Below are 27977 nucleotides of genomic sequence, written 5' to 3' on the forward strand. Positions count from 1 at the left end.
AAAACGACTTTTGTTCCTCCCTCTCAGGTCCTCCCACCCACCCAGTCCAGGCAAAGTTCTGAACTGGCCCCCCTCGCCCCTCACGACCCTCCAACTACCATCACCACCATCACGCCCCAAAGAACCCTTCCCAACATAAGTCGTAATTTAAGGTGGAAAAAACGAACTGTTTTCTTGACGGGTCTGGGACACACACACACACACACACACACACACACACACCCCCCGAACTGTTTTCTTGACGGGTCTGGGAGACAGACACACACACAGACACACACACACACACACACACACACACACACACACACACACACACACACACACAAAGGTGCAATGGAGCCAGGGGAGGCGCTTGGCAGCAGCCCGCGCCAACCAGCATTCCTGAGATGTTTGAGAATTCTGGAACGCGCAGACAGAGCCGACGTCACTGCAACACGCGGCGCCTCCGCCGGCCCGTATAAAAGGCGGGCTCCGGGGCGCCTGGGCAGACCGCGAGCGAGAGCGCCCCCGAGCAGCGCCCGCGCCCTCCGCGCCTTCTCCGCCGGGACCTCGAGCGAAAGACGCCCGCCCGCCGCCCAGCCCTCGCCTCCCTGCCCACCGGGCCCACCGCGCCGCCACCCCGACCCCGCTGCGCACGGCCTGTCCGCTGCACACCAGCTTGTTGGCGTCTTCGTCGCCGCGCTCGCCCCGGGCTACTCCTGCGCGCCACAATGAGCTCCCGCATCGCCAGGGCGCTCGCCTTAGTCGTCACCCTTCTCCACTTGACCAGGCTGGTGAGTTGGACTCTCCTTTTGCCACCTATTCCCCGTCCGCTCTCCAGCCCCTTCCCCTGGTCCCAGATTGCCCACGGCAGGAAAAGTTAAAAAGTTCGCGATCGTTTGCGGGTAGCCGTTTCTTTAAGCACTCTCCCCCTCCCCCCGAAGACGTGTCGGGACCTCTTGGTGGGAGCAGCCTTCCGAGGTGGCCGGGCTGGACGAGATCAGAGGCTCCCCGTCGATAGGGTCGGAGACCCCCGTCCCTCACTGCGGCAGCCGCGGCGCCCCTCCTGCGCACCGCGCCGAGTCTCACGCGTATCTTCTCCCCCTTCCAGGCGCTCTCCACCTGCCCCGCTGCCTGCCACTGCCCCCTGGAGGCGCCCAAGTGCGCGCCGGGAGTCGGGCTGGTCCGGGACGGCTGCGGCTGCTGTAAGGTCTGCGCCAAGCAGCTCAACGAGGACTGCAGCAAAACGCAGCCCTGCGACCACACCAAGGGGCTGGAATGCAACTTCGGCGCCAGCTCCACCGCTCTGAAGGGGATCTGCAGAGGTAAGATGCTTGTGGTTTGGCCCCTTTAAAAAAAATACTAGTCCCCATAGTCCAGAAGTTTAGTAATTCTGAGACCATGTATGGTGATGCTTTGTTGTTGGTAGCTTGGCAGAAAGGCACATGATTTCAGCAGTCTGGAATGCAATTCAGTGTGTCTGGGCCCAACGAAAGCGCATACGGAAAAGTGATTCCTGACTAACTTATTGTTCTGGTCTGGAGTCTCCGGGGAATTGTAGGGAACTTTACCATAAATTGAATTTAACAGCAGAAAATATGTATGAGTTTCAGGCGGTGGTTTGGAATCTTAACTTTATCCCCTTCTACCTTTCTCTTTTGGTGATCTTTGCAGCTCAGTCAGAGGGCAGACCCTGTGAATATAACTCCAGAATCTACCAAAACGGGGAAAGTTTCCAGCCCAACTGTAAACATCAGTGCACATGTATTGATGGCGCCGTGGGCTGCATTCCTCTGTGTCCCCAAGAACTATCTCTCCCCAACTTGGGCTGTCCCAACCCTCGGCTGGTCAAAGTTACCGGGCAGTGCTGCGAGGAGTGGGTCTGTGACGAGGATAGTATCAAGGACCCCATGGAGGACCAGGACGGCCTCCTTGGCAAGGAGCTGGGATTCGATGCCTCCGAGGTGGAGTTGACGAGAAACAATGAATTGATTGCAGTTGGAAAAGGCAGCTCACTGAAGCGGCTCCCTGGTAAGTGGAGACTGAGCACTTCAGACACTGTACTGAGATGCATTTCTGGTCTAAATCTTTGTAGAAATGAGTGCTTGAGCCTGTTTGTGTCGGTATGCCTCTGAGAAGTCTTCCCTCTTATATGTCTCTAGTTTTTGGAATGGAGCCTCGCATCCTATACAACCCTTTACAAGGCCAGAAATGTATTGTTCAAACAACTTCATGGTCCCAGTGCTCAAAGACCTGTGGAACTGGTATCTCCACACGAGTTACCAATGACAACCCTGAGTGCCGCCTTGTGAAAGAAACCCGGATTTGTGAGGTGCGGCCTTGTGGACAGCCAGTGTACAGCAGCCTGAAAGTAAGTTCCTTCAGGGACGTGTAGACTGTTGCCTGGCAGGTGGGTGGGATGTGAACATCTTTTTGAAGAAAGAGAAATATCACCCCTAACTTTCCTTCTCTCCTTTCTCTTACAGAAGGGCAAGAAATGCAGCAAGACCAAGAAATCCCCCGAACCAGTCAGGTTTACTTACGCTGGATGTTTGAGTGTGAAGAAATACCGGCCCAAGTACTGCGGTTCCTGCGTGGACGGCCGATGCTGCACGCCCCAGCTGACCAGGACTGTGAAGATGCGGTTCCGCTGCGAAGATGGGGAGACATTTTCCAAGAACGTCATGATGATCCAGTCCTGCAAATGCAACTACAACTGCCCGCATGCCAATGAAGCAGCGTTTCCCTTCTACAGGCTGTTCAATGACATTCACAAATTTAGGGACTAAATGCTACCTGGGTTTCCAGGGCACACCTAGACAAACAAGGGAGAAGAGTGTCAGAATCAGAATCATGGAGAAAATGGGCGGGGGTGGTGTGGGTGATGGGACTCATTGTAGAAAGGAAGCCTTGCTCATTCTTGAGGAGCATTAAGGTATTTCGAAACTGCCAAGGGTGCTGGTGCGGATGGACACTAATGCAGCCACGATTGGAGAATACTTTGCTTCATAGTATTGGAGCACATGTTACTGCTTCATTTTGGAGCTTGTGGAGTTGATGACTTTCTGTTTTCTGTTTGTAAATTATTTGCTAAGCATATTTTCTCTAGGCTTTTTTCCTTTTGGGGTTCTACAGTCGTAAAAGAGATAATAAGATTAGTTGGACAGTTTAAAGCTTTTATTCGTCCTTTGACAAAAGTAAATGGGAGGGCATTCCATCCCTTCCTGAAGGGGGACACTCCATGAGTGTCTGTGAGAGGCAGCTATCTGCACTCTAAACTGCAAACAGAAATCAGGTGTTTTAAGACTGAATGTTTTATTTATCAAAATGTAGCTTTTGGGGAGGGAGGGGAAATGTAATACTGGAATAATTTGTAAATGATTTTAATTTTATATTCAGTGAAAAGATTTTATTTATGGAATTAACCATTTAATAAAGAAATATTTACCTAATATCTGAGTGTATGCCATTCGGTATTTTTAGAGGTGCTCCAAAGTCATTAGGAACAACCTAGCTCACGTACTCAATTATTCAAACAGGACTTATTGGGATACAGCAGTGAATTAAGCTATTAAAATAAGATAATGATTGCTTTTATACCTTCAGTAGAGAAAAGTCTTTGCATATAAAGTAATGTTTAAAAAACATGTATTGAACACGACATTGTATGAAGCACAATAAAGATTCTGAAGCTAAATTTGTGATTTAAGAAAACAGCGCTTCATGTTCATCAGAATATAAAGCCTAAGGGTCTCCATCACTCTGTGAGATGGCTATAATAATTTATTATTTTAATCACCAGGTTAGTGGGCATGCCACTTTAGTAGAGTAGAGAAACCCTTTAATGAAAAGGGGTAGTCCATAACTCAGGCTGCCCACATCCAGACCCATGGGCAAGATTGAATATAATTAATGTATTCTAAAGACTTGCTTGTTTATAACTTTATATTTTCCCAATACCGTTCCTAAAAATTAGAACTACTTAGAAATTTACCCTTGGCTGTTATGAGGAAAAATCTGAGTCTATAGGAGTCAGTTTGTTTTCACTAAATGAGCTTGAAGCATGACTTGTGTTAATCCTAATAAGCCGGTGATTAGGTAAACATGCTGTTAAATGCAAAGGAATGCAAGGAATTTCAACTACTTTTCCAATAGCGTGAGGGCCAAGCTACCCCATCCCCCTTTCCTTTTTATAATATACGTTATATTGATGGGGGAGGGAGCAGTTATATAGAGTTGGCTATTCAGAAGGTCAAAGGTCCAGAGCATTCCTAAAAGAAAGGGACCCAAATCATAGGTCTAGGAGAGGTTGAGAAGGCTGTGTCAATGTTTGTGAAAATGTCAGTAGTCTGTTTCAGAAGCATCTTCATCTTTAGAAAGCGCTGACAATAAACCTTTTATAGGGAGAAGTTTTCCTTTCATCATCACTGTTGGCTCCTGTTCAAATCCATAGTGAAATATTTCAGTCCGCACTTAGTTAAGAGAGTACTTGAGTTTTTAGGCAGAAGAGAAAGTGCTTTTAAAAGGAATGGAGGAGGACAGCTCCTGGGATCCTGAAGGGATTTTTCCAAGTAGATTAAATAAGATCCATACTTTAATGAAGACCCACAGAAAAATACTGCCTAAGAAATGGTTTTAAAGCCTTATGGAAATGCATAGAGGTTAATATAAATGCACTAGTAAAATCTATGGCCAAAAGCCTTCACTTCTGATTTTGACTTGCCTGAAATATTACAGCTTGTGCCTTCTGAATAGTCAGGTTTCTTGCCTGAGACATTCAAATGTTAAGGTATTTGAGAATTTAAACATCAGCTGGCCCAGTCGTGGATGCAGTTAAACTTGTCAGTGCAATGTAACGTGTGAAACATAATAAAGGTGTGAGGCTTTTGTGGTGCAATCTTGTTGAACAGACATCTAAATCCATAGGCAAGATTTACACATTCCCAAGCATCAACCCTGAAGTATTGCTCTCCAACACTGGAGTCCAACAAATTGCTTCTTATGCAGAGATCAAGGAGCAATATTTTACAGATCCTTTCAGTGTGCAGGGAAGTAGTATTTGTCCAAATAAGCTCAAATGTGAAACAGAACCTAGTATGGGAAAACACTGAATCTTTGGGTTATTAATTTCATCCTAGTAAATATAATGAGGGTGATTGAAAGTGCCAATTCCATTTACAATAAGTGTGTTCAATTAATAAAGAAGATGAATACAAGCAAATTATGTCTTTTGTTTAGCTATAGAAAAACCTGAAGAAATTAAAAGTAGTGGAGAATAAAATTATGATATTTAGAACACGTAAGTTTTACCTACATCCAGAATGGAGCTCTGCCCACTTTAAATATTGAGAAAACAAACCAAAAATTATGCATCTGCATATATGAAATAGAAGTTACATATAGAAATATTCATTATAATATATATGTACCTTCCCATGCACAGTAAAGACCTTGGGTTGTTCTTGCTTTTCAATCCAAAAGATCCTGGTGGTCTTGAGCTATTTTTTGGTAGAGATTTTAGAACTGAGAGAGTGATCTCAGAATCTTAGGCATTCCACGAATTTTAAGAAATACTCTATGGGACATTGAGCAGCACAGCAAGTAGTCTCACTATGACTATTTTTTCATATGAACATATGTGTTGTCTGCTCCACAAAGAGATGCAACTGAGTCAAAATTAGCAAAGCATATTTTAGAGTTATGTTTTCCAACAGAGGGAACAGACTTGGTTTGTTCACAACCTCTTCTTGCAGCCTTCTGGCACTACTTGAAAGTCAGTTGAGCAATAGCAGTGGTTCAGTATGACCACAGTACAGAGCAAAGCTATGCTCTGGGCAGAATGGCAGGTGATACAGTGGAAAGAATCCCATGGAATCATGTCTTTTAGCACCAGCTCTGCCATGAATTCACTAGGTGACTCTGGGCAAGTTTCTGTTTCACTCCCTCATGTTAAAGTAGGAAAATAGCTTTCAGCATTTTTGTCACCCCAAAAACCCTTTCTCATACACCCACTTCGGTACATTGGCTCTCATACCTTAAAACTTTTATCTCCTCAAGTAACCACATGTGTGAACTGAAAACTGCTCAAGGCTTTCTGTCATCAAATGCACTTGTTTCCATGAAGCGTTTGAAAATGTATTGTGGCTAGACCCCTTCCCCCCCCTTTACTTTCTAAAGCACCCTTGGTTAGAGGACACAGCAATTCCTGGATCTCAGAGTCTACAGGTCCATACTTTAACCTCACTGTATAGCCCTATCCAGGCCTCATTAACTCCTTGCCCTACACAACTGATGCTTTAAAACAAAGCATATTCTGAAACATGACAATGATCCATTTGTCCTACAAATAGATTAGATATAGCTGTGACTTTCTCCATTGGTGGTGGGCAATATTCATCCATGTAATCTTATAAACTACAATTAATAAATACTCAGATGCATTTGTTACTGCTTTGCTGTTTCCATATATTCTGTTCATATATTCTGAATCTACCCCTTTCTCATCTCCAGAGCAAACCTCTAGATGAGACCACCATCATCCCTTGTCTGAATTACCAGAATGGCCTCCTCATTTATAGCATATTGTATTTTCCAAAGGTGGCTGCAGCAATATCTCCCACTCCATGTGCCCTTCTGCAATGTGCCTCTGTTGCTCCCCCATTAATGGGGGGGTCTATTTCTCCACCCTCTTGGATGTGGGTGAGCTCTTGACCTGTGAATGTGGAGGAAGCAATGCAATGTGGTACAAGTTCCACATGCAGTACTGGCTAGGAGTTCCTCCATCTTTTCTCTTAGAAATGAGCTTCCATGTAAGAAGTACAACTACTCTGAGACCAGCAGACTGTGAGAAGCTGAAGCCACATGGATAGGCCTTAGAGAATGAGTTGCCATGTGGAGAAAGAGAAAGGACCAGGAGCACTTGGGCATTACACCTGTCCATGAAGAAACCATCTTGGAAGTGAATCCTCCAGCCTCAGCCACCCCAGCTGATGTCTTGTGAATCAGAGATGAGCTGCCCAGCTGAGTCCTTCCCATAGTTCCTGACCCACGAAATAGTGGGCAAACCAATACGGTAATTATAAAGAAATAAGTTTTGGGTTTGTTTGTTACATAGCAATAGATAACCAAAATATCATTGGTTTCCATTCTTCCCCTTTTACATTTTTAAACTGACTCTTTAAAAATGTAAATCGGACTATATGGACCCTTGGGTTAAAGGCTCCAATGGTGTCCCACTGCTGTCAAAGTAGAGATTTAGCTTCTTACTTGGCACCCAGGTCCTGGACCCTGCCTACTTCTTACCATTCACCCTCATTCACTATACTTCCACTTGCCTTTTCTTCTTCTTTGAAAAAGCCAAGCAATTTCCCCTGCAGGGCCTTTGCACTAGCGTTCCTCTGCCTCAAATGCCCCTTCCCCTGACCTAGGCTTCTTCTTGGCATGTAGGTCTCAGCACAAATGCTACCTTCTTAGCAACCTTTCTTCACCACCCAGTCTAAATTATTAATAGTTCCTTACACCAAGAAGTTTTTTAAGGGGCAGAGCAAAAAGGTGGAATAAAAATCCCCAACAATCATCCCCACTGCAGGAACACCAAATTTAACAACTACCTACACAAAAAAGAACCTTTACAAGAACCAGAATTCAGATGAGCACTCACAACCAGTTTCTAACTTCATATCGTTGAAAGAGGCACTGAAGAGTGTAGGAAAGACAGTCTTGAATCACTGCCACCACCCCTCCCCCATTCTCTGGCAGCAGCCACATGGTGCAGAGAATCTGTGCTCTTGGGAGAGGGAGACTACAGCAACTAGGAGACTGCCTGGAACGCAGTGCTGCCCTGTCACAGCAGAGATGCCCACCTATGGAGGTAGCATTCAGACCTGTCCTAGCCAGAGGAGAATCACCCATCCCAGTGGTAAGAGCTGGAGTTCTGGCAAGCCTTACCACCATGGGCTGAAGTGCCTTGGGGACGTAAATAAACTTAAAAGGCAGTCTCGGCTGTAAGGACTGCAAGTCCTGGCACTGAGCTGGGCTCAGAGCAGGTGGATTTTAAGGGCATGTGACTTACTGAGATACCAGTTGGGGCAGCTAAGGGAGAGCTTGCATCACCCTTCCCCCAAACCCAGGCAGCACAGCTTGCGGCTCCAAAAGAGACCCCTACCTCCCACTTGAGGAGAAGAGAGGGAAGAATAAGGAGGACTTTGTCTTGCATCTTGGATACCAGCTCAGCCACAGTGGGATAGGGCACAGGTCACAGTTGTGAGGCCCCTATTCCAAGTTCTAGCTTGCCAACCACATTTCTAGACACATGTTGGGCCAGAAGGGAACCTGCTACCTTCAAGATAAGGACTCGGAGCTGGCAAGAACTGTTACCTGCTGACTAAAGAGCCCCCGGGCCCTGAATAACCAGCAGTGATACCCAGATAGAATGCTGTGGGCCTTGGGTGAGACTTTGAGATGTGATGACTTCAGGTAAGACTCAGCACATTTCCAGCTATTGTGACTATGATGAGAGACTCCTTCTGCTTGAGAAAAACAGATGAAAAAGCAAAGGGGACCTTGTATTGCATCACAGGTACCAGCTCAGCCACAGTGGAGTATAATACCAAGAGGGGTCTTGGGGCCCCAATTCCAGGCCTTGGGTCTTGAATGGCACTTCTGGACCTGCCCTGGGCCAGAGAAGAGCCCACTGGCCTGAAAGGTGAATCCCAGGCCTGGCACCATTCACCACTAGCTGACTGAAGAGCCCTTAGGCCTGAGAAGAATATCAGTGGTAGCTTGGCAATACTCCTCTTGGGTCCGTGGTGGTGGTGGCTACAGGGTGAGGCTCCTCTTCCTCTGAAAAGGGGATGGAAGAGTGGGAAGGACTGTGTCTCATGGTTTGAGTGCTAGCTTAGGCACTGTAGTGTAAAGCACCAGATAGACTTCTAAGGTTGTTGACTCGAGTCCCTGGATCCTGGATGGCATCTCTGGACCTTCCCAGGGCCTGGGGGAACTTGCTGCCCTGAAGGGAAGGACACAAACCTGGCTGCTTTACCACCTGCTGATTGTAGAGCCCTAGGGCTTTGACTCAACACAGATGGTACTAGGTAGTGGTTACAGGGGGCCTTGGGTGAGACCCAGTGCTGTGTTGTCTTCAAGTCTGACCTGGCACAGCTCCAGAGGTGGTGGCTGCAGGGGTGTTTGTGTCACCCTACCCCCCAAGCCCCAGGTGGCTCAGCACACACAGAGAGAGACTCCATTTGTTTGGGAGAAAGTAAGGGAAGATAACAAAAGTCTCTGCCTAGTAACCCAGAGAATTATCTGGATCTTATCCAAGACCAACAAGGTGGTACCTCTATGAGCCTGCAAGAACCACAGCATTCTTGGGGTTGGGGTGCCCCCTAATACAGATATGGCTTAGATCACAACACCCAAGTCCTTTTGAATACCTGGAAAGCCTTCCCAAGAAGGATAGGTGCAAACAAGCACAGACTGTGAAGAGTACAACAAATACCCAACTCTTCAATGCTCAGACAAAGCTGAACATCCACAAGCATCAAGACCATCCAGGAAAATATGACCTCACCAAACAAACTAAATAAGTCACCAGGGACCAATGCTGGAGAAACAGAGATATGTGACCTTTCAGACAGAAAATTCAAAATAGCTGTTTTGAGGAAATTCAAAATAACACAAAAAAGAAATTCAGAATTCTATTAAGTAAATTTAGCAAAGAGATTGAAATAATTAAAAAGAATCAAGCAGAAGTTCTGGAGTTGAAAAATGCAATTGGTATACTAAAGAATGTGTCAGAGTCTCTTAATAGCAGAATTGATCAAGCAGAAGAAAGAATTAGTGAGTTTGAAGATATGTGATATGGTTTGGGTCTGTGTCCCCACCCAAATCTCATCTTGTAGTTCCCATAATTCCCATGTGTTGTGGGAGGGACTTGGTGGGAGTTAACTGAATCAGGGGGTGGGTCTTTCCCATGCTGTTCTTGTGATAGTAAGTTTCATGAGATCTAATGGTTTTAAAAATGGGAGTTTCCCTGCACAAACTCTCTTCTCTTGTCTGCCACCATCTGAGACATGACTTTCACCTTCCACCATGATTGAGGCCTCCCCAGCCATGTGGAACTGTAAGTCCATTAAACCTCTTTCTTTTGCAAATTGCCCAGTCTCAGGTATGTCTTTATCAGCAGCATTAAAACAGGCTAATACAATATGCTATTTGAAAATACACAGTCAGAGAAGACAAAGAAAAAAGAATAAAAAAGAATGGAGCATGCCTACAAGATCTAGAAAATAGCATCAAAAGGGCAAACCTAAGATTTATCAGCCTTAAAGAGGAAGTATGGAAAGAGATAGGCTAGAAAGTTTATTCAAAGGGATAATAACAGAGAACTTCCTAATCCTAGAGAAAGATATCAATATTCAAGTACAAGAAGGTTATAGAATGACAAGCAGATTTAACCTAAAGATTACCTCAAGGCATTTAAGAATCAAACTCCCAAACGTCAAGGATAAAGAAAGAATCCTAAAGGTAGCAAGAGAAAAGAAACAAATAACATAAAATGGAGGTCCAATATGCTGGGCAACAGACTTTTCAGTGCAAACCTTACAGGTCAGGAGAGAGTGGCATGACATATTTCAAGTGCTGAAGAGAAAAAACTTTTACCCTAGAATAGTATATCTGGTGAAAATATTCTTCAAACGTGAAGGAAAAATACTTTCCCAGACAATTAAAAGCTGAGGGATTTCATCACAACAGACCTATCCTACAAGAAATGTTAAAGGGAGTACTTCAATCAGAAAGAAAAGGATGTTCATGAGTAATAAGACATCATCTGAAGGTACAAAACTCACTGAGAATAGTAAGTACACGGAAAAACACAGACTATTATAACGGTTTAACTGTGGTGTGTAAACTACTCTTATGTTAAGTAGAAAGAATAAAAGATGAGCTAATCAAAAATAATAACTAGGCCAGGCATGATGGCTCATGCCTGTAATCCTAGCACTTTGGGAGGCTGAGGCAGGTGGATCACCTGAGGTCAGGAGTTCAAGACCAGCCTGACCAACATGGTGACACCCTGTCTCTACTAAAAATACAAAAATTAGCCAGGCGGGATTGCTTATGCCTGTAGCCCCAGGTACTCGAGAGGCTGAGACAGGAGAATTGCTTGAATCTGGGAGGTGAAGGTTGCAGTGAGCCGAGATCACATCAGTGCACTGCAGCCTGGGTAACAGAGTGAGATTCCATCTCAAATAAATAAATAAATAAATAAATAAATAAATAAATAATAATAATAATAATAACTACAACAACTTTTCAAGACACAGTACAATAAAATATAAATGGAAACAACAAAAAGCCTTGAAGTTGAAGTGTAGCGTTTTTATTAGTTTTATTTTTGCTTGTTTGTTTATATAAGCAGTGCTAAGTTGTTATCAGCTTAAAATAATGGGTTATAGGATAGTATTTGCAGACCTCATGGTAATCGGAGGTCAAAAAACATGTAATAGATACACATAGAATAAGAAGCAAGAAATTAAATCATACCATCAGACAAAATTATCTTCACTAAAAGGAAAGAAGGAATAGAAGATGACAAAACAACCAAAAAACAAATTACAAAATAGCAAGAGTAAGGGCTTACTTATCAATAATAACAGTGAATATAAATGGACTAAATTATTCAATAAAAAGACATAAAGTGACTAAATGAATAAAAAAAACCAAGACCCAAGGAGCTGTTGCCTACAAGAAACACACTTCACCTATAAAGACACAAGTAGACTGAAAATAAAGGAATGGAAAAAGTTATTTGATGCCAATGGAAACCAAAAAAGAATACCTATACTTATATCAGACAAAATAGATTTCAAGACAAAAACTATAAGAAGAGACAAAGAAGGTCATTCAATAATAATAAAGGGGTCAATTCAGCAAGAGAATATATTATAACAATTGTCAACATATATGCACCCAACACTGGACCACCCAGATATATAAAGCCAATATTATTAGGGCTAAAGAATGAAAATACATGATGATCTCACTCCAACTGGAACTCTCTCACTGATTACTTGATAACAATAAAATATCTGATATTCTGCAAAAAACAAACAAACAAAAAACAAAAACAAAACAAACAAAAAAAGAATGAAATAGATCTTAATACAATAAATGTTAGAGACTTCAACACTCCACTTTCAGCATTGAACAGATCTCCCAGAGACAAAATCAACAAAGAAACATTGGACTTTCTCCACTACAGACCAAATGGACCTAATAAATATTTATACCCCAAAGAAAGGAAATCATATATTCATTTCCATGTTTATTACAGCACTGTTCATAATAGCCAAGATTTGGAAGCAACCTAAGTGTCCATCAACAGATGAATGTATCAAGGAAAAAAGTGGTACATATACACAATGAAGTTCTATTCAGTCATAAGAAAGAATGAGATTCTGTCATTTGCAACAACATGGATGGAACGGAAGGTTATTATGTTAAGCAAAATAAGCCAGGCACAGGAAGTCAAACTTTGCATGTTCTTGCTTATTTCTGGAAGCTAAAATTTAAAGCAATTGAACTCATGGAGATAGAGAGTAGAAGGATGGTTACCAGAGTTTGGAAAGGGTATTGGAGGGTTGAGGAGGAAGTGGGGATGGTTAACAGGTACAAAAAAATAGAACAAATAAGACCTAGTATTTGCTAGCACAACAGGGTGACTATAGTAAAAAATAATTTAATTATACATTTTAAAATAACTAAGAGTATAATTGGATTATTTGTAACACAAAGGATAAATGCTTGAGGTAATGAATACTTAATTTACCCTGATATGATTATTATGCATTGCATGCCTGTATCAAAATATCTCTTGTAGTCCATAAATATATATACCTTCCATGTACCCACAAAAATTGAAAATAAATTTAAAAAGTTTTATGTTCCTCGTAGCACTTAGCACTATCTGATATTTTCTTGTTTATTTATTACATCTCTCCCTTCAAGAATGGGAGCAGAAGTTTCCCTGGACAACATGGTGAAACCCTGTCCCTACTAAAAATACAAAAATTAGCTGAGTATGGTGGCACGTGCCTGTAATCCTAGCTACTTGGGAGGCTGAGGTACGAGAATCGCTTGAACCCAGCAGGTGGAGGTTGCAATGAGCCAAGATCGCACCACTGCACTCCAGCCTGGTGACAGAGCAAGACTCTGCCTCAAAAAAAAAGAAAAAAGAAAAGAAAAGAAAAATTGCTTTACACTGTGCCCAGCATAAAGTAGATGCTCACTAATTTATAGAACATATGTTGTCTTATGCTGAAGCTAAATTAGAAGGCACCCACTCACGGGCACAACGCTTTCCTTCTACTTCACCTTGGACTTTTTTCTAGCCAACTGCTAACCATTCTTTCATTTTTTTCTTGCTTTCATACATCCAGTCACTAGACACTTATCTGGTACCTCTATATTTCAGGCATAGGGCTATGCAGTAGTTAAAGAAGCACCACAGTTCCTTTACTTTGTGGTAAGGGAGGCATATCTGTAAGCAAAATTGAGTTAAGATTAGGTTCAGCTATAAGTAACAGAAAATCCAAATCATAATGGCTTAAGAGGTGGGCATGGTGGCTCATGACTGTAATCCCAACAATTTGGGAGGCTGAGGCAGGAGGATTGTTTGAGGCCAAAATAGCCTCTGCTATTTTGTTGCTTCACCATGCACGGCCTCTGTTCCCTAGTTTGCCTCATGGCACATGGCCTCGCTTAGCTGCAGGGAAGGGTAGGAAATGTAGTTTTTACTCTAGGTTGCTATGTACTTACGTGAAAATTAGAGCTCCTGATACTACAGAAGGGAGAACAGGTATTGGGGGACACCTAGCAGTCTATACTACATAGCCAAAAATATTCTGTAACAAATCTAATGAGCACAGAGGAGGCTGGAGGAGAGTTACCAACTGCCTGGTTCTGGGATCAAAGAGAGCTTCCTGGAGGAGTTGTCACTTCAGCTGTTTTTTAAAGATAAATAGATTGGAAACTATTTAAAAGCCTTGGTTAACAGGTTGAAAATTTCTGAAATAACCAGTGATACTTTCCCCATTTCAGCCATAAAGAGAAATCAAAGACAGCTGTGCCACCTGGGTTTGGAGTCAAAGGCCATTTGTATTTGAAATAGTTTGTGTTTTTGCTTTAGGTTTAGAAATATCATGACAGGTGTACCTGTATTAGGGTTCTCTGGAGAAACAGAAGAGAGAGATTTTAAGGAATTGGCTTATGCAGTTGTGGGGGCTGGCAAGTCCAAAATCCTTGGGGTAAGCCAGCAGGCTGGAATTCAGGTTGGAGTTAAATCTGCAGATCAGGCCAGGTGGACTGGAAGCTCAGGCATGGTTTCTATGGTGTAATCTTGAAGTCAAATTCTTTCTTCTTTGGAAAACCTCAGTCTTTGCTCTTAATGCCTTCAATTGAATACATGATGGCCACCCTACTATGGCAGGATGCTTTGCTTTATTCAAAGTCTACTGATTCAAATGTTAATTACATGTGAAAAATACTATCACAACAATATCTAGACTGGTGTTTGGCCAAACAAATGGGCACCATAGCCTAGTCAAGTTGACATATAAAATTAACCATCAAAGTACACATCTAGTGGAACATTTTCAGAGGCAGAAATTCTTGCCCACTCTCTAAACTAGAATGAATTTTAGCAGAGTCAGAAAAGCAGAAGTTTTGCTGAATTATACCTAGTGTTCCCCAGCCTTGTCATTGTGCCCACAGAAGTGTGGGGAAGGGCTCCAGCATATATTTTGCATTAACTAGATTCAGGGGATACCTCAAAAAGGCTCCTGGGCCACTGACCTCAAGCTTCATGCAGAACAGCAAGATCTAGCCACCTCTCAGTCAGGATGGCTATGGGGTGGAAGACTGTAGGGAGAGCCTCCTAAGAGCTCTAGAGAAGGGCCCTCTCCAAATCTGCATGGACATGGCAGGCCACAGCCCAGCACTTGCACAATTAGTGAACCTTTCTCTGTCCTTTCATACAAATCTCCATTGTAGCAATGATATCGCCCCACTGTGATTGTCTGCTTAACTGTTTCCCCACCAGATTTTAAACTCCCTGAAGTTTTGTCAATGAGTGAGTACCAAGTAAGAATAGATTGAAAGGAATTTGAGAGCTATCTTACAGCACCTCCAGATCTCCTTTGGAGAAGAGAGAACAAGTTTGTTCTACATTGCCCCAGGGCAGAGGTCCAAGGCTAGTGGTCCCACTAGAATCTGACAAATAGACATGTTTTGTTCAGCATACATGGCATTTATAAAACTGGATTGGGCTGGGCACAGTGGCTCATGCCTGTAATCCTAGCACTTTAGGAGGCCAAGGCAGGAGGATCTCTTGAGCCCAGGAGTTCAAGAGCAGCCTGGGCAACAAAGTGAGACTCTGTCTCTATAAAAAAATTAAAAAAATAGCCAGGCATTGTGGTGGATGCCTGTGGTCCCAGCTACATGGGAGGCTGAGGCAGGAGAATGACTTGAGCCCAGAAGGTGGAGGCTGTAGTGAAATAGATTCATACTAGTATACTCCAGCTTGGGTGACAGAGTGAGACTCTGACACACACACACACACACACACACACACACACACACAAACTGGCTTGCTGCCAATGTTTGAAAACTGGGAGTTTTTTTTTTTTTTAAAGTAAAATTTCTAGCTTCCTTTGAAAAATTTACACATATGAGCAATTTGTACATGGTGGGAGCTGAGTTGCAGCTCTCTCCTGAGAGTGGGTGCTCTGCAGTTCACCAGCATAGAGACTGATGGAGAACAGGCTGGGCGTGGTGGCTCATGCCTGCAATCCTAGCACTTTGGGAGGCTGAGGGGGTGGGTCACTTGAGGTCAGGAGTTCAAAAACAGCCTGGGCAACATGGTGAAACCCAGTCTACTAAAAATACAAAAAAATTAACTGGGGGTGGTGGCGGGCACCTGTAATCTCAGCTACTCGGGAGGCTGAGGCAGGAGAATCCCTTGAATCCGAGAGGCGAAGGTTGCAGTGAGCAGAGATCGCACCACTGCACTCCAGTCTAGGTGACAGAGCAAGACTCTGTCTCAAAAAAAAAAAAAAAAAAAAGAGAGAGAGAGAGAGATTGATGGAGAACAGGTGTGTGTGTGTGTGTGTGTGTGTGCCCGCGCGTGCACATGCACACACATGGTCAGGGGGGTTAAAGGGCAGGAAGAGATGATCTTTAAAAATTCAGATTCTTTCTAAAGAAAGCACAACCTGGACCACCCCTTTTACTGTGGAAGTACTTAGAAAAATAATTTTAGGCATGGAAATGCTGTTATAAATTCAAGAAAGAATAGAGACCATCTCAAATCACCATGCTGCTGTAAACATGCCGCACCGCCCAGCCCCGCTTCCTTCTACAATTCCAGTCTGTGTATTTTTGTGGGGAAGTGTACCTATTCCATTTATAATACCATGTCATATTTTCCAACCGACACCGGATAAGTTAATCAAAGATATACACTGCATCCTGAACGTCTGCTGAATTTAACCATCTATTTTTATGGTAACCAAAGAGACTTCCCAGGGGCATTGCTGCAGATAGCCAGGGGGTTGGCTCTAAAATTTTTTTAATGACTCAAAGTCCTTATTTCCAGTGCTATCAAATAAAGAATACTTATATTTGCAGAGGCATTCAATGAACTCCGAGAGATAGAAGACTTGTCCAAGTAGTTATAGTTAGTTAGCCACTTATGAAGTAAAAGGTAGACCCCAGAGGATTTACTCTCTGACTGTCTCCCTGACAAAGGCATTTGGGGCACAGGAAGGCACTTGGGTCACAGGGAGGTCTGTCTAGGAGACAGGGTCTTGGTGTCAACCGGGCTCCTGGGAAGATTTCCGCCCATGGATTTCCTAGAGGTGAATCAGCACCACCAACTTCCCATAACAGAGGTAACACCTTTCTCTAGCAAACGGAGATTGATCTGAGTGGTAAAAACTCAGCTCTTCTGTTAAGAGTATTTGCTGGTTAAAATAAAGGAGCTCATCCACAGTGGGAGTTTACATTCTGGGCTCCTAAGGGAAACTTTCAGACAGGTCCCTCTTATCCTCCAAATTAGTTTGTTCTTGGAAAAGAGCCCATGTCTTGAGTTGACCTCTTTCATTTAAGACGAGACTTGGCCATTTAAGATATTCTCTTTAATGTTTGAGTTCTGTTGTTGTTGGTTTCCCTTTAAAAGCAGGCATACTTATACAGATTCAGTATTACAAGAAATACAGAATGTCAAACATGAAGCTTCCTAGTAAGCCCCCCGTCTTTCTCTCTCTCTCTCTCTCTCACACACACACACACACACACACACACACACACACACACACACACACACAGCACGGAGAGCCACTTTTAAGCATATAGTGTATATTCTTACAGATTTGGGGGGTGTGTCCACTTGCCATTAACTAATAATTAATTAATAAATAAATAAGATTAGAATACACATACAGCTTTGCATTTATTATACCTTGAAAGGCATTTAATGTTGATCCATGTAGTTTTCCCTCAGTCTTTGTAATGGTTTCATAGACTTTCATTCCATTATTGAAGTCCCATAGTTATTTAAATGCTGTACCTGCTGTGCCCACCGAAAGGCCATACCCCATCTCCTTGACTCCTCGTCAGCAAAGCCTCAGATCTGTCTGGGTGTTCTTCCTCCCATAAGTTCTGGGAAGGCAATCCCCTGTCTCCACCCTCAACCAAAGGATAATATCAGGACTTGCATGATGATCTCATTTCGTTTTCAATGATGGGTTGTAACTCATTATTGATCAATGATACTGAAGGAGAAATCTTCTGTGGGGAGAGAAACTTCTGAGAAAGGAAATCCTTGATAATAAAAAGAGATCAGTAGAAGAAATTCCTTCTTCTTTGCTGAACATCACCTTTCCTGAGCCAGGAAGGAGACATGACTGACACACTGGAGATAGTGGAGCAGCAAGGGAAAAACCTCCGGGTCCCTAAAGAGATCCTTGAGCTGCTGGATTACCTGGCCGTGGACCCAGCTGCCATGCAGACCTCTTGTTTGGTGGATAATAATCTCCCCACTGTTTAAACTTTTTTTGTTAAGCTGTTACTTGCAGCCAAAACTATCCTAACTGATATACTTGGGTCTTTATTTGCCTATTGACTTCATAAATAATACAACAATGGCTACCTCCAAAGGAGAAGAAAGTACTTTCTGAGATGTGAATGAATGAACAAACAAACAAATATTTGGCAGGAGTATAATTCTTTCATTCATTTACCTATCATTTGCTGAGTGTATATAGTGCATGACAGGCCACAGGCCAGCCAGACGAGGTGGCCAAACAAAGAAATAATAAGACATCGTCCGAGCCTCAAGGATGTCACACCTAGCAGAAATGTCCATGTATAAAAATAATCCTGGTACACTGTAACAGTGCGAGAGAACCTAGTAATATGAGAGCATAGAGGGTAGTCAGAGAAAGCTTCACAGAAGACAAAACATTTGGAGTGGGTCTGGAAGGATGAGTAAGAGTTTACTATTTGGGGTTAACTCCCGAAGTGGAAAACACCACCATATTGGAAGCCTTGGGGTACTCTCAAAGTCAGCAAATTTATAGCCTCATGCAAGATCTGAGTAGTAACAGCCATTTTGCATCTTGTTTTTTATGGCTAATAAGAGAAAAAGCAAAAACAGGGACCTATAGGAGATGGGAGATGTGCCCTGGTGATGCGGACAGGCCTGTCCCTTCCATGGGAGGTATCTTTGGAAATCCCCCATCTCCACGGTAATACGAGCTGCCAGCCGGCAGAGGGTGAATTAGCACTGGCACCATCAGATACAAGCTGGACACAGCTGAGTGCAGACAGGACACCACATCATCTGGGACAAGAGAGCAGACTGCTATGACAGGTTGGTCTCAGGCCGACAGGACCCAGCCTGGGCCTGACCCACTGGTGAGTCACCCAGGACAGCCCCAGTTGACTCCTTGGACCCAACAGCAAAGGCAAAACAACCAGAGAGAGGAAGCCTGGATGACTTGGTTACTGCCACCTGATGCTCTTGCGTCTGTGCCACAGGTCAGATTCCCGCAGGAGGCCAGCTCCTTAACAGCTTCCGGTTCCTCCTGGAGTAGTGTTCCTACTTACCACTAGCTGTGCACAGCTCTCTCGTCCAGGATTTTAAAGCCTGCAGCAATGTGATAGGTAAACAAAGTGCCACAGAAGCAGCTCCATTCTGGCTCCTTAAACCTCACCTATTCCCCAGGTGCAAAAGAACTATTATTGCTACACTTGCAAACAAAGTGCATGTCAAAAAAGGTATAAACAGCAAGTGTCTTAACATTCTGTATGGGCAAGAATGATAAAGCAGTTCATAGTCTCTATGTGCCATATTAATAATGATAACTGAATTAAGAATTTGGATTATATTATTATGTCAATACACTTGGTCTAAACCATTTCAGGTGTTTGCATATCCTAAGAACGTATTTAATTCCTGTGGTTGCTCTCAGTGTCTGCTAGAAGCTGTACATTCTCCTTCTGCTCTCATAAGTTTGAAGCCAGGTCCCTTGGCATGCTATGTAAACACAGCCATTTAAATAAATAGAACATGGCCACGGTTCAGCACCAGCAACAGGAGCCACTGCTTTTTTGGGTGAGGAATGGTGAAGCCAAAAAAAGAAAAGGAAGAAATCCCCTGTAACATTAGACAGATTGCAAGGAATTTTTCTGAATTTTGGCCAAGAAGCTAAGATTAGAAGTCATATTGCACCCTTTTTATAATAAACTTTTGGCCTCAATCACAGAAATTCATTCATTTGACATACATCTATATATCGGATATGGTTTGGCTCTGTGTCCACACCCAAATCTCATGTCGAATTGTAATCCCCACTGTTGGCAAAGGGACCTGGTGGGAGGCAATTGGGTCATGGGGGTGGATTTTTCCCTTGCTGTTCTTGTGAGTTATCCTGAGATCTGGTTGTTTGAAAGTGTGTAGCAAGTCTTCCTTTGCTCTCTCTCTCCTGCCACCATGTGAAGATGTGCTTGCTTTCCCTTTGCCCTTCTGCCATGATTGTAAGTTTCCTGAGGCCTCCCCAGCCATGCTTCCTGTACAGCCTGTGGAGCTATGAGTCAACTAAACCTCTTTTTACATAAATTACCCAGTTTCAGGTAGCTCTGTATAGCAGTGTGAGAACAGACTAATATAATATCTATCTATATCTATATCCATATTTATATATCTGTACGTCTATATCTATGCTCATATACACACAGAAATGTCTTTTATATTTCTGTTACAGGTTAAGCACTGGGAGGCACAGATGTATGAGGACTTGCCATCTAGGAGTCAGAGAATCAGCACATATCTTGTCATGTCATAGCTGAAGAGCTGCCACCTAGACCTGTTCCTGCTGCTTCACTCTGGTTTTCCCATGGCCCATATGGAAGGGAACCAGGGTTGGGCTACCACCATTTTGTGCTCCCAGATTGGAGGATGGGTGAGGCCTCTCCATCCCAGCTTCCCTGGATAACTTAATTTAAGCTTATGACACATATTCTCTGAAAGGCAAACCCATGAGGTGTATTCACAAAGAGGACATCAAATCCCACTTGGAGTCTTGTGTCATTAAACCATTACAGTCAGCCCTCCATATCCCTAGGTTCTGCATCCATGGATTCAACCACCCATGAATAAAAAATATCCAGAAAAAAAAAGTTGATGGTAGTGTCTGTGCTGAACATGTTCAGACCTTTTTTGGTCATTTTTCCCTAAACAATACAGTATAACAACTATTTACATAGCATGTAGATTGTATTAGGTATATATAAGTAATCTAGAGGTGATTTAAAGTATAAAGGAGGATGTGCATAGGTTATATGCAAATAGTATGCCATTTTATATAAGTTATTTGAGCATTTCCTCTATGGGTTTTGGTATCCATGGAGGTCCTGGAACCAATCCCCCACAGATACCAAGGGACAAGTGTATTTAGCATTTTCATACACCCTGTTTCATCTGCATAAGACCCTGACGATTTCAAGATACGCTATCTTTTTACATACCACTAAGAAAAACCAGCCAACTAGACTATGGCATGCCATCTGCAGTAAGATGGATTCTGATTTCAGAACTGTTAAAGGATTTTTTGAAAAGTACTTTCTAGAATCAACAAAATCCAAAGGCTTTCTTCTCCAACTAGACTGTGAGTTCCTAGAGGGCAGAGAACATACTTATAATTTTCTGTACTTTGCAGTGCCTAGCACAGTGTCATACACATAGAAAATACACTGTAAAACACTCTAATGAATGAAAGAAAAGTGAATAGTTAATATAAATCCTATGCTCTCTCAACAGAAAAGTGCACTGAGTAATCAACCAGCCCACTCAAGTAGAGGCAGGAAGGTCCCGATTGGGCCTTGTTCTTCCTATTGGGACTAACATTGGAAACAGCCAGACTCGCTGAGTCTGATGTGCCCTGGAGCAGGCGGGGAGGGAGCTTCCGAACTACAGCTTCTCCAGCACTTGGAGCAGCTCGAGGCCTCTCACCTTAAGGCCTGGTCAACCAGCTGCTGGCCAGACACACTGCAATGCTGGGCTCCCTGGGAACCTATTTATGTTTCTCCTGAAAACCAGTATGTAATATCAAACTTCTGAAAGTAAAATCACAGTTTAAGTGGATTGTGGGAGCTGGCTATTTCGGGGAACCTTCTGGTGAGTTCTCTGGTAACGTCAATAACCACTCCCTGATTTATCTATTTTATAACTTTGGATTTTTGCGTATCCTGTTCCCTTAGAACAAGGCACACCCTTATATTGGGTTTCCCCACAGTAGAGTCTTTGTGCTGGGTCAGTGGCTTGAAGGGTTTTTGCCTCTCTCCCTTGAGGGTTCCTGTTCTGCTCAGGCCCCAGTTAGACTAAACCTCTTCCCCAGGTGCCAGGGCTTCCCTGCTGTGAAAGTAGTAAATGGAAACCACGTGTTGCTTTATTTCACTTTATTTTAGAATAAAGTTACTTCTGACCAGTTTCATTCCAACTTTTGAGAGATGGACCACAGAGAGATGCACGCTGCACACAACAGGGCATCAGTGGGCATGCCACATGTGTGCAGGGGCAAGGAATGTGCTTCACACATGCTTCACACATTCAACCCCTGTGTACTGAGCAACTGAGGCATCCCAGGTTCTGTGCCAACTCTTTTGGGGACTGCAGAGATGCCCAAGACTCAGCCTCTGGCCTTGAGAAACTCAGTCTAGTTACAGTAAGCTCTGCTGCATGATACCATGCAGGTCGGAGGCTGCTCCTTCCTGAGAGAGTTGGGGAAGGTTTTACCTGGGGTAGAATCTGGAAGTTGGGTGTTGGGAGAAAAGGAAAGGGCAAAGAGTCACCAGGTAGTGAGGCAACATGTACAAAGGCACAGGTGTGTGAGACCACGGGGACCAGGGAACGGTCAGACAGAGGGCGCTCTGCAGCCTCCCCCTTTACTCCTACCCTGAGTCAGTTACGGGGAGGCTGAAGCCTTCCCTTGCCTGGGCCCATAATTGCAAGGTCTCCAGAGAAATCTAAACTTGATCTCCCAGATCTCCTGTTTCCCACAAACCTCTGAGCCTGCACTCCTCTCTTTTGTCCTGCTGCTGCTGGTGTTGCAGCACCCACTGACAGGAAATGGGGCCCCTGAAAAGATCTTTGCTCCTGTAGTTTTGCAGGCTAGAAGGCGAGAGAAGCAGGAGAGGGCCAGTTAGGAGCACTGAGCATGGTCCCAGCACAGGGTTGTGATACCCACTTAGAAATGACCAATGACGTCCTGATACTTGCTTAGTCCCCTTTCCTGGTCCTTCCTAAATTGTCATATGCTTGAGAAACCTGGATGTCCATATGTGCCTGGCCTGTTTCTCTGCATCTGCCCCCAGGGTATGATAATCCCTGGAATACACAAGCTCTCATGACCCCTTCAAAGTGGTGAGAGACATTAGAGGCAGTGCCCATGTGTCTCTCTGAGGCTTCAGTCATCTTATCCCTAATCTCTGAGCTCAGTCTCCTGGGTTCAGATATCAGGGCTAACTCCTTAATCCGTAATCTCCTGGGCTAACTCCTTAGGGCTAGAGCTGAGTCCAGTCATCATCTGTGGACAATTCTCCCACTCACGATAGGCAGGCGGGGCCACCTGTTTTACTTCTTAACACTATTTAGTCGGGATAAGGATGCTATAATTCATGGGGTGAACTGTGAGACCTTACACTTGGAAGTGACTTGGAGGTCCCTGGCTCCACCGACTGCCAGACCCCTTTCCCACCTCCTCGGCCAGAGGTGGTCCAGGCCTCTGTCACTGATGGAGTTGGTGCCTGCTCTGCCTCTTTCCACAGCTCATACTCCAGAAGTGTTAGCCACTCTTCTGACTATTAGCTTGACATCCATCTCCTTATAGCTTTCAGTAACTGTTTAGGTTTTTCCTTCCAGCATTCCTCAGAATGAATTTAATCCTCTTTCATATTGCCATATTTAAGACCTCTAAATTAGGTGCTTCTTCCCCACGTGCACTCTCAACCTTTTATTTCTTTCTAGGATAAACACAGCAGCTACAATTATTCTTCACATGATCTGTCTTCAGGACTTTCATTTCCCTGGTTGCTTGCTTCCAAATACACCTCAGTCTGTTAAGGTCACTCTAAAACTGAGATATTGATAGGGTAACAGAACCCTCCAGGTCTTCCCTGAGTGCCAACTGCAGCAAGTCTATTAGCTCCTGTAGGATCCTGAAGTGGACTTCTGTTTACAAATCCACCCTCCCTCCTGAACCATGAGCACTTACTTTCTTGCTCTCTTGGTCCTCACACCCCCAACCCCCAATCCCCAAGCTGAATTAAAGGGCAGATGTAAATTTCAGAATCCAAGAGACAACACAGTATAGGAGAATTGTTTTAACTTTCTTGGTATTACTAGCTCCCAGCACAAAACCTAGGAGCCAGCAGGCACTCAATAACTGTATGGTCAATCAACCAGTACATCTGTTTAATGTAAGTACGGTAAGCTTGCATGTAGTTTCTTAGCAGTATGTCAATGTTTATGGTTAACTGCAATCTCATGGTCTATTTCATGTGACCTTCTATAAGAAGAATCTGTCAGTTCTACTTGTAGTGTTGACTTTCCTTAATGTAAATTTAGGACCTGACATTTATGTAACAAACCCTTCCAAAATTGGGTGGCTTAAAACAACAACAATTTATAATTGTCACAATTTTGTTGGTTGATGAAGTTCAGCTGGGAAGTTACTCATGCGGTCACTCATGCAGGTGGGAGCTTGGCTGGGGCTAGAATGTTCCAAATGACTCCTCATCCTCTGGGGTCTCTCTCCTTGTGGCTTTTCATCACTCAGTATTCTACCCTGAGTTTCTTTACAGCCAAGGGGCTGGCTTCTAAGAGGGAGTGTCACAAGAAGACAAGCCTCGATGTACAAGAACCTATTAAGCCTCTGATTGCTCCAAACTTACTAACACCTTGTTGGTTAAAACAAGTCACATGATCAAGCCCAGCATCAAGGTGGAAGGGAACTATATAAAGCCATAGACACTGGGAGGTAGTTCACTGGGGACTGCCAATGTCACAGTCTACCACATTTATCCTTATTAGATGTCATTGTTACACTTTTGAGAGGGAAGATTTTTGCTCACATCTTTATAAAAATTCAAATTTTTCAGGATATGGGCTCCATGATGATGGTGATGACAATGATACATCATTTACTGTCTACAGTATCCTAGGTTTTTCTTTTCATGATTAAAATTTATATAAAAATCCCAAGGACAGAATTATTGCTCCCACTGAAGAGATAAGAAAAATGAGATTCACAGAGCCTCAATAAGTTTCTTAGTCTCAATCTTAGCTGAAGGCAAGATTTCAACCTAGGTCTCTTTAATTCCAAAGGAGGTGTTTTTTTCCACTGTACCATACTGGCTCTGAGTCTACTTTTGACTCAAGGAAACATATAATTCCCTGCAGAAGAGTGTTTTTCAAATTCTAATAAGGAACTCAAATAGTTAGACAATGCAAAATCACTTTTCTTTCTCTGGAGTTCTTTAAGTGTTTAAATTTCATTTTGTTCTAGGGTATTTTGGTTTCTTTTGCTTTATATAGTGAGTTCTCCTGACTAGTGAAGGAGCCCGAAAGTGCTGATCATACAGTAGGGCTGGGATGTTTAAATATCTGGATGAAGGTTCTGATAAGACTTCATATAAATAGCTATAAGGCAGGGTTCCCATACAAAAAAAAATTGAGTTTGAACTTGAAGTTAGTCTTAACTCCATCTATACTGTCTGGATTGCCAGTGTAATTGGCCTCCAAGTAGAGAACTATGCTTTTTTCTTTATCTACTCTGGTAAATTATTAAAAGGCTCTTCTGCCCAGGGGATCATTAACTACCTGGGAGGTCTGGCAGGTGCAGCAAAGTGAACCAGGGCAGCTCTGGTTGGGATGGCAGGACTGAGCTTCCTCAGGCAACTTCCACTGCTCAGCCAGAATGAGGGAAAGACCAGCCCTGGGCAGGGCTGCAGGGATTGGGCTGGTGGGCAAGAATAGAGGTAAAGACGGGATGGAGGAAGAGGACCTCCCTGTCCAGCCTGAAAGTGGACTTCCAACTCTTTATGTCACTCAACTCCCATTTGCCTGATGGAATGTGTGCCGTGTGCACCTGCATTTACCCACATTCCCTCCTTCCTCTCTTGGAGGGTGAAAGTGGAGGCAAGGACGAGTCCCAGATTGGCCAATGCAGAAACAACATTTGTGTGGATGACACAGGAGAGCAGGGGAGGTGAGCAGGAGTGACAAAACCTCAGTTAAACCCGTCATCAACCCAATATCTTCACTATCCACATGAAGTGACACGGGAGGTTATACGACACGGCCAAGCCCACCAACTTCCTTAGCACCAGAGATGGCATGGCACTAGATGGCACTAGAACCCACACCTGCCACCCCCAGGCAGGGCTTTTTCCTTGGCACTGGTGCAGTCACCAATCTCAGTAGCTTTCACGAGCCTACAATTGAAAGCACTTTTCTCTATGGCTTTACATCTTGGCCTTTAGGGCAGTAACCCACAGCCTAGTTAGTTCTACTTCTTCTGCCACCCTTCCCTTGTTTCTGTTGGAAAGTGGTGCAGCTATTGGAGGATGTGCTTGACTGAATGTGCTCCCTCAGCTTTTCAGTCCATAGGATGGGCCCCAGCTATACCCTTTCACTCCTTCCCTGCTCAAAGATCATGGAAGAATTCCTGAGGTAACATTTTCATCTTGGGTGAGACTCATTCTTTACAATTCACCCCTGTGGTGAGCTCAGCCTAGTGCAGCCTCTCGTTTGCTCTGTTCACACACACACACACACACACACACAGTCATGCATGTATGCACATACGCACGCACACATGAGAAACACAAGAAAGCACCTTTAAAAAAAATTAGCGGATGATACTTTCCCTTTGTGGATGGTTGCACCTCATACCAATCATGGGTTTAAGCTTGGTGAGGAAAGAGATGGACGGAGATAGAAGCTGGGGAGAAAGATTTGTAATTATTTAAACTTATTGAATAGCTATGTGCCTGCTCCGCTCTGAAAATAGCGCCTGGGTTAAAAGTCTCTGTACCTCAGAAGGTCACCATCTGTAGGAGAGGTAGATCAAAACATATCATTTTAATCAGGAAGAGTTTGAGGTGTGGGAGGTTACAAGGCCCAGGCCTGAGATGGAACTAGCACCCACATCTGACACCCCCGGCACAGGGCTCACTCCTCAACCTTGGAGCTGTTGCCAACCTCAGTAGGTATGAAGAATGTATTGGGCACACATGTTGAAAGCAATGTTTTTCTAGGGCGTTTAGGAGTGAGAGAAGCAAGCGCAATTCCCTGTGGTGTCCCAACCACAAAGCCTCTTCTACCTGTAGCAGACAGAGGAGGTGACACATGAGCTGAGTCTGGGATGACAAGCTCACAAGCATTTGGGGTCAAGCATTCCAGGGAGAGGAGTCAGCCTGGGCAAAACCAAGGCAGCGCTCTCGGTAGGCCTGGGCCTCTGGCTAGTGGTTTCCTTCAACCCACACACTGCGCATGGAACCACAGAAGGCAGCACAGCAGAGCATCTGCCCTCACGTTCTTCCTGGTGGGGGGCCTCCCAAGGACATTCTGCCTCAGGTTCTTATTGTCTGAGGTCACTGAGCCTCCTGAAAGTATTTCAGGAATGTGGAGGCCTGACTCACTCTCTTCCTTGAGTTCACAGTCTGAAGTTCATAAAACCTCTTCCCCCTTTAGTCATTCTTATTCAAATACCGGCCCACAAGTTTCACAGATGGAGCTGGCAGGAGGAATCTTGGGAAGCATTTTTTTGCTCAGGATGTGAAAGTATATGAAGAGTTTGGGAGATCCAGGAGCAATCATTCACTAAGAGCCAGACCCCTGTGGCAGGCGCTGGCTAAACGCAGAGACTGGCTGGCTCGCTCACAGAGTGGAGATCACTGGCAGAAGAGAAATGCCATGAAAGCATCCACTCTGTGCCTCAGTTTCCTCAACTGTAAACAGAGACAATAACCACACCTTCTTCAGAGAACTGGATGGGGAGTGAGTTAATCCACATAAAGTAGTTAGAATACAGCCTGACACATAATAAGTGCTCAATAAATACTAGTTTATTGTTCATACTATTGCTTATTGTTGGCAGAGTGAGTTGTCTACACACTAAGTGGTGTGGGGAAGAGGAGGCATTCCTGGAATAGGACTGCGTGGGATAAACCTGAAAGGAAAATGTCCAATGCCGTGGGTGAGTGTCCAGATGGGGAGGCCTTTAGACATCACACACACACAGCAGGAGGGGCAGCTTGGGAGAGAAGAAACCCGAGTGGCACATCTAGCCTGATGCCAAAGTATCAATTCATGCACTTCTTCCGGTTGGAAACAGTTATAAAAATGTCCAGGGAATTAACAAAGGGGATGCAGG

General features: G+C 43.9%; 1 protein-coding gene and 1 non-coding gene across 2 annotated transcripts, besides 13 other annotated features; both read left to right on the top strand.

Annotated features, from left to right (window-relative positions):
- Positions 55 to 577: an enhancer, noted in NCBI's record as "NANOG-H3K27ac-H3K4me1 hESC enhancer chr1:86046012-86046534 (GRCh37/hg19 assembly coordinates)". NCBI's record gives its function as "activates a minimal SCP1, AML or CMV promoter by ChIP-STARR-seq in primed H9 embryonic stem cells {active_cell/tissue: H9 hESC(primed)}" and the evidence as "EXISTENCE:reporter gene assay evidence [ECO:0000049][PMID:30033119]".
- Positions 55 to 597: a biological region, named in NCBI's record as "NANOG-H3K27ac-H3K4me1 hESC enhancer GRCh37_chr1:86046012-86046534".
- Positions 308 to 357: an enhancer, noted in NCBI's record as "active region_1271". NCBI's record gives its function as "activates an Ori minimal core promoter by ATAC-STARR-seq in GM12878 lymphoblastoid cells {active_cell/tissue: GM12878}" and the evidence as "EXISTENCE:reporter gene assay evidence [ECO:0000049][PMID:35858748]".
- Positions 468 to 597: a silencer, noted in NCBI's record as "silent region_1038". NCBI's record gives its function as "represses an Ori minimal core promoter by ATAC-STARR-seq in GM12878 lymphoblastoid cells {active_cell/tissue: GM12878}" and the evidence as "EXISTENCE:reporter gene assay evidence [ECO:0000049][PMID:35858748]".
- CCN1 (cellular communication network factor 1) lies at positions 487 to 3676 on the top strand. Its single transcript, NM_001554.5, has 5 exons — positions 487 to 773; positions 1091 to 1304; positions 1654 to 2010; positions 2142 to 2350; positions 2466 to 3676. Exons 1-5 carry the CDS (start codon positions 711 to 713, stop codon positions 2766 to 2768), a joined length of 1146 nt encoding a protein of 381 aa, NP_001545.2. The 5' UTR covers positions 487 to 710; the 3' UTR covers positions 2769 to 3676.
- Positions 1028 to 1087: a silencer, noted in NCBI's record as "silent region_1039". NCBI's record gives its function as "represses an Ori minimal core promoter by ATAC-STARR-seq in GM12878 lymphoblastoid cells {active_cell/tissue: GM12878}" and the evidence as "EXISTENCE:reporter gene assay evidence [ECO:0000049][PMID:35858748]".
- Positions 1098 to 1147: a silencer, noted in NCBI's record as "silent region_1040". NCBI's record gives its function as "represses an Ori minimal core promoter by ATAC-STARR-seq in GM12878 lymphoblastoid cells {active_cell/tissue: GM12878}" and the evidence as "EXISTENCE:reporter gene assay evidence [ECO:0000049][PMID:35858748]".
- Positions 1158 to 1207: a silencer, noted in NCBI's record as "silent region_1041". NCBI's record gives its function as "represses an Ori minimal core promoter by ATAC-STARR-seq in GM12878 lymphoblastoid cells {active_cell/tissue: GM12878}" and the evidence as "EXISTENCE:reporter gene assay evidence [ECO:0000049][PMID:35858748]".
- Positions 1624 to 2145: an enhancer, noted in NCBI's record as "H3K27ac-H3K4me1 hESC enhancer chr1:86047581-86048102 (GRCh37/hg19 assembly coordinates)". NCBI's record gives its function as "activates a minimal SCP1, AML or CMV promoter by ChIP-STARR-seq in primed H9 embryonic stem cells {active_cell/tissue: H9 hESC(primed)}" and the evidence as "EXISTENCE:reporter gene assay evidence [ECO:0000049][PMID:30033119]".
- Positions 3677 to 12005: 8329 nt separating the features above from the next.
- On the top strand, positions 12006 to 12082 carry LOC124900422 (small nucleolar RNA SNORD81). The gene has a single exon (XR_007067365.1). It is a non-coding gene; the product is annotated as a small nucleolar RNA SNORD81 (small nucleolar RNA).
- Positions 17552 to 17846: a silencer, noted in NCBI's record as "tiled region #8792; HepG2 Repressive non-DNase unmatched - State 24:Quies, and K562 Repressive non-DNase unmatched - State 24:Quies". NCBI's record gives its function as "represses a minimal TATA promoter and a strong SV40 promoter by Sharpr-MPRA in HepG2 and K562 cells {active_cell/tissue: HepG2 | K562}" and the evidence as "EXISTENCE:reporter gene assay evidence [ECO:0000049][PMID:27701403]".
- Positions 26241 to 27105: an enhancer, noted in NCBI's record as "OCT4-NANOG-H3K27ac-H3K4me1 hESC enhancer chr1:86072198-86073062 (GRCh37/hg19 assembly coordinates)". NCBI's record gives its function as "activates a minimal SCP1, AML or CMV promoter by ChIP-STARR-seq in primed H9 embryonic stem cells {active_cell/tissue: H9 hESC(primed)}" and the evidence as "EXISTENCE:reporter gene assay evidence [ECO:0000049][PMID:30033119]".
- Positions 26241 to 27971: a biological region, named in NCBI's record as "P300/CBP strongly-dependent group 1 enhancer GRCh37_chr1:86072656-86073855".
- Positions 26699 to 27898: an enhancer, noted in NCBI's record as "P300/CBP strongly-dependent group 1 enhancer chr1:86072656-86073855 (GRCh37/hg19 assembly coordinates)". NCBI's record gives its function as "activates an origin of replication core promoter dependent on BRD2, BRD4, P300/CBP, MED14 and CDK7 cofactors, with strong dependence on P300/CBP, by STARR-seq in HCT116 cells {active_cell/tissue: HCT116}" and the evidence as "EXISTENCE:reporter gene assay evidence [ECO:0000049][PMID:35650434]".
- Positions 27106 to 27971: an enhancer, noted in NCBI's record as "OCT4-NANOG-H3K27ac-H3K4me1 hESC enhancer chr1:86073063-86073928 (GRCh37/hg19 assembly coordinates)". NCBI's record gives its function as "activates a minimal SCP1, AML or CMV promoter by ChIP-STARR-seq in primed H9 embryonic stem cells {active_cell/tissue: H9 hESC(primed)}" and the evidence as "EXISTENCE:reporter gene assay evidence [ECO:0000049][PMID:30033119]".

Source organism: Homo sapiens, chromosome 1, assembly GCF_000001405.40.
Source record: "Homo sapiens chromosome 1, GRCh38.p14 Primary Assembly".
Lineage (NCBI taxonomy): Eukaryota > Metazoa > Chordata > Mammalia > Primates > Hominidae > Homo > Homo sapiens.

Excerpts from the sequence above, each read along its gene's own strand:
- CCN1 (NM_001554.5), top strand. The coding sequence starts at position 711 with ATGAGCTCCCGCATCGCCAGGGCGCTCGCCTTAGTCGTCACCCTTCTC. Across the intron at positions 774-1,090 it reads TTCTCCACTTGACCAGGCTG|GCGCTCTCCACCTGCCCCGC; the intron begins GTGAGTTGGACT and ends TCCCCCTTCCAG. Across the intron at positions 2,011-2,141 it reads CTCACTGAAGCGGCTCCCTG|TTTTTGGAATGGAGCCTCGC; the intron begins GTAAGTGGAGAC and ends ATATGTCTCTAG.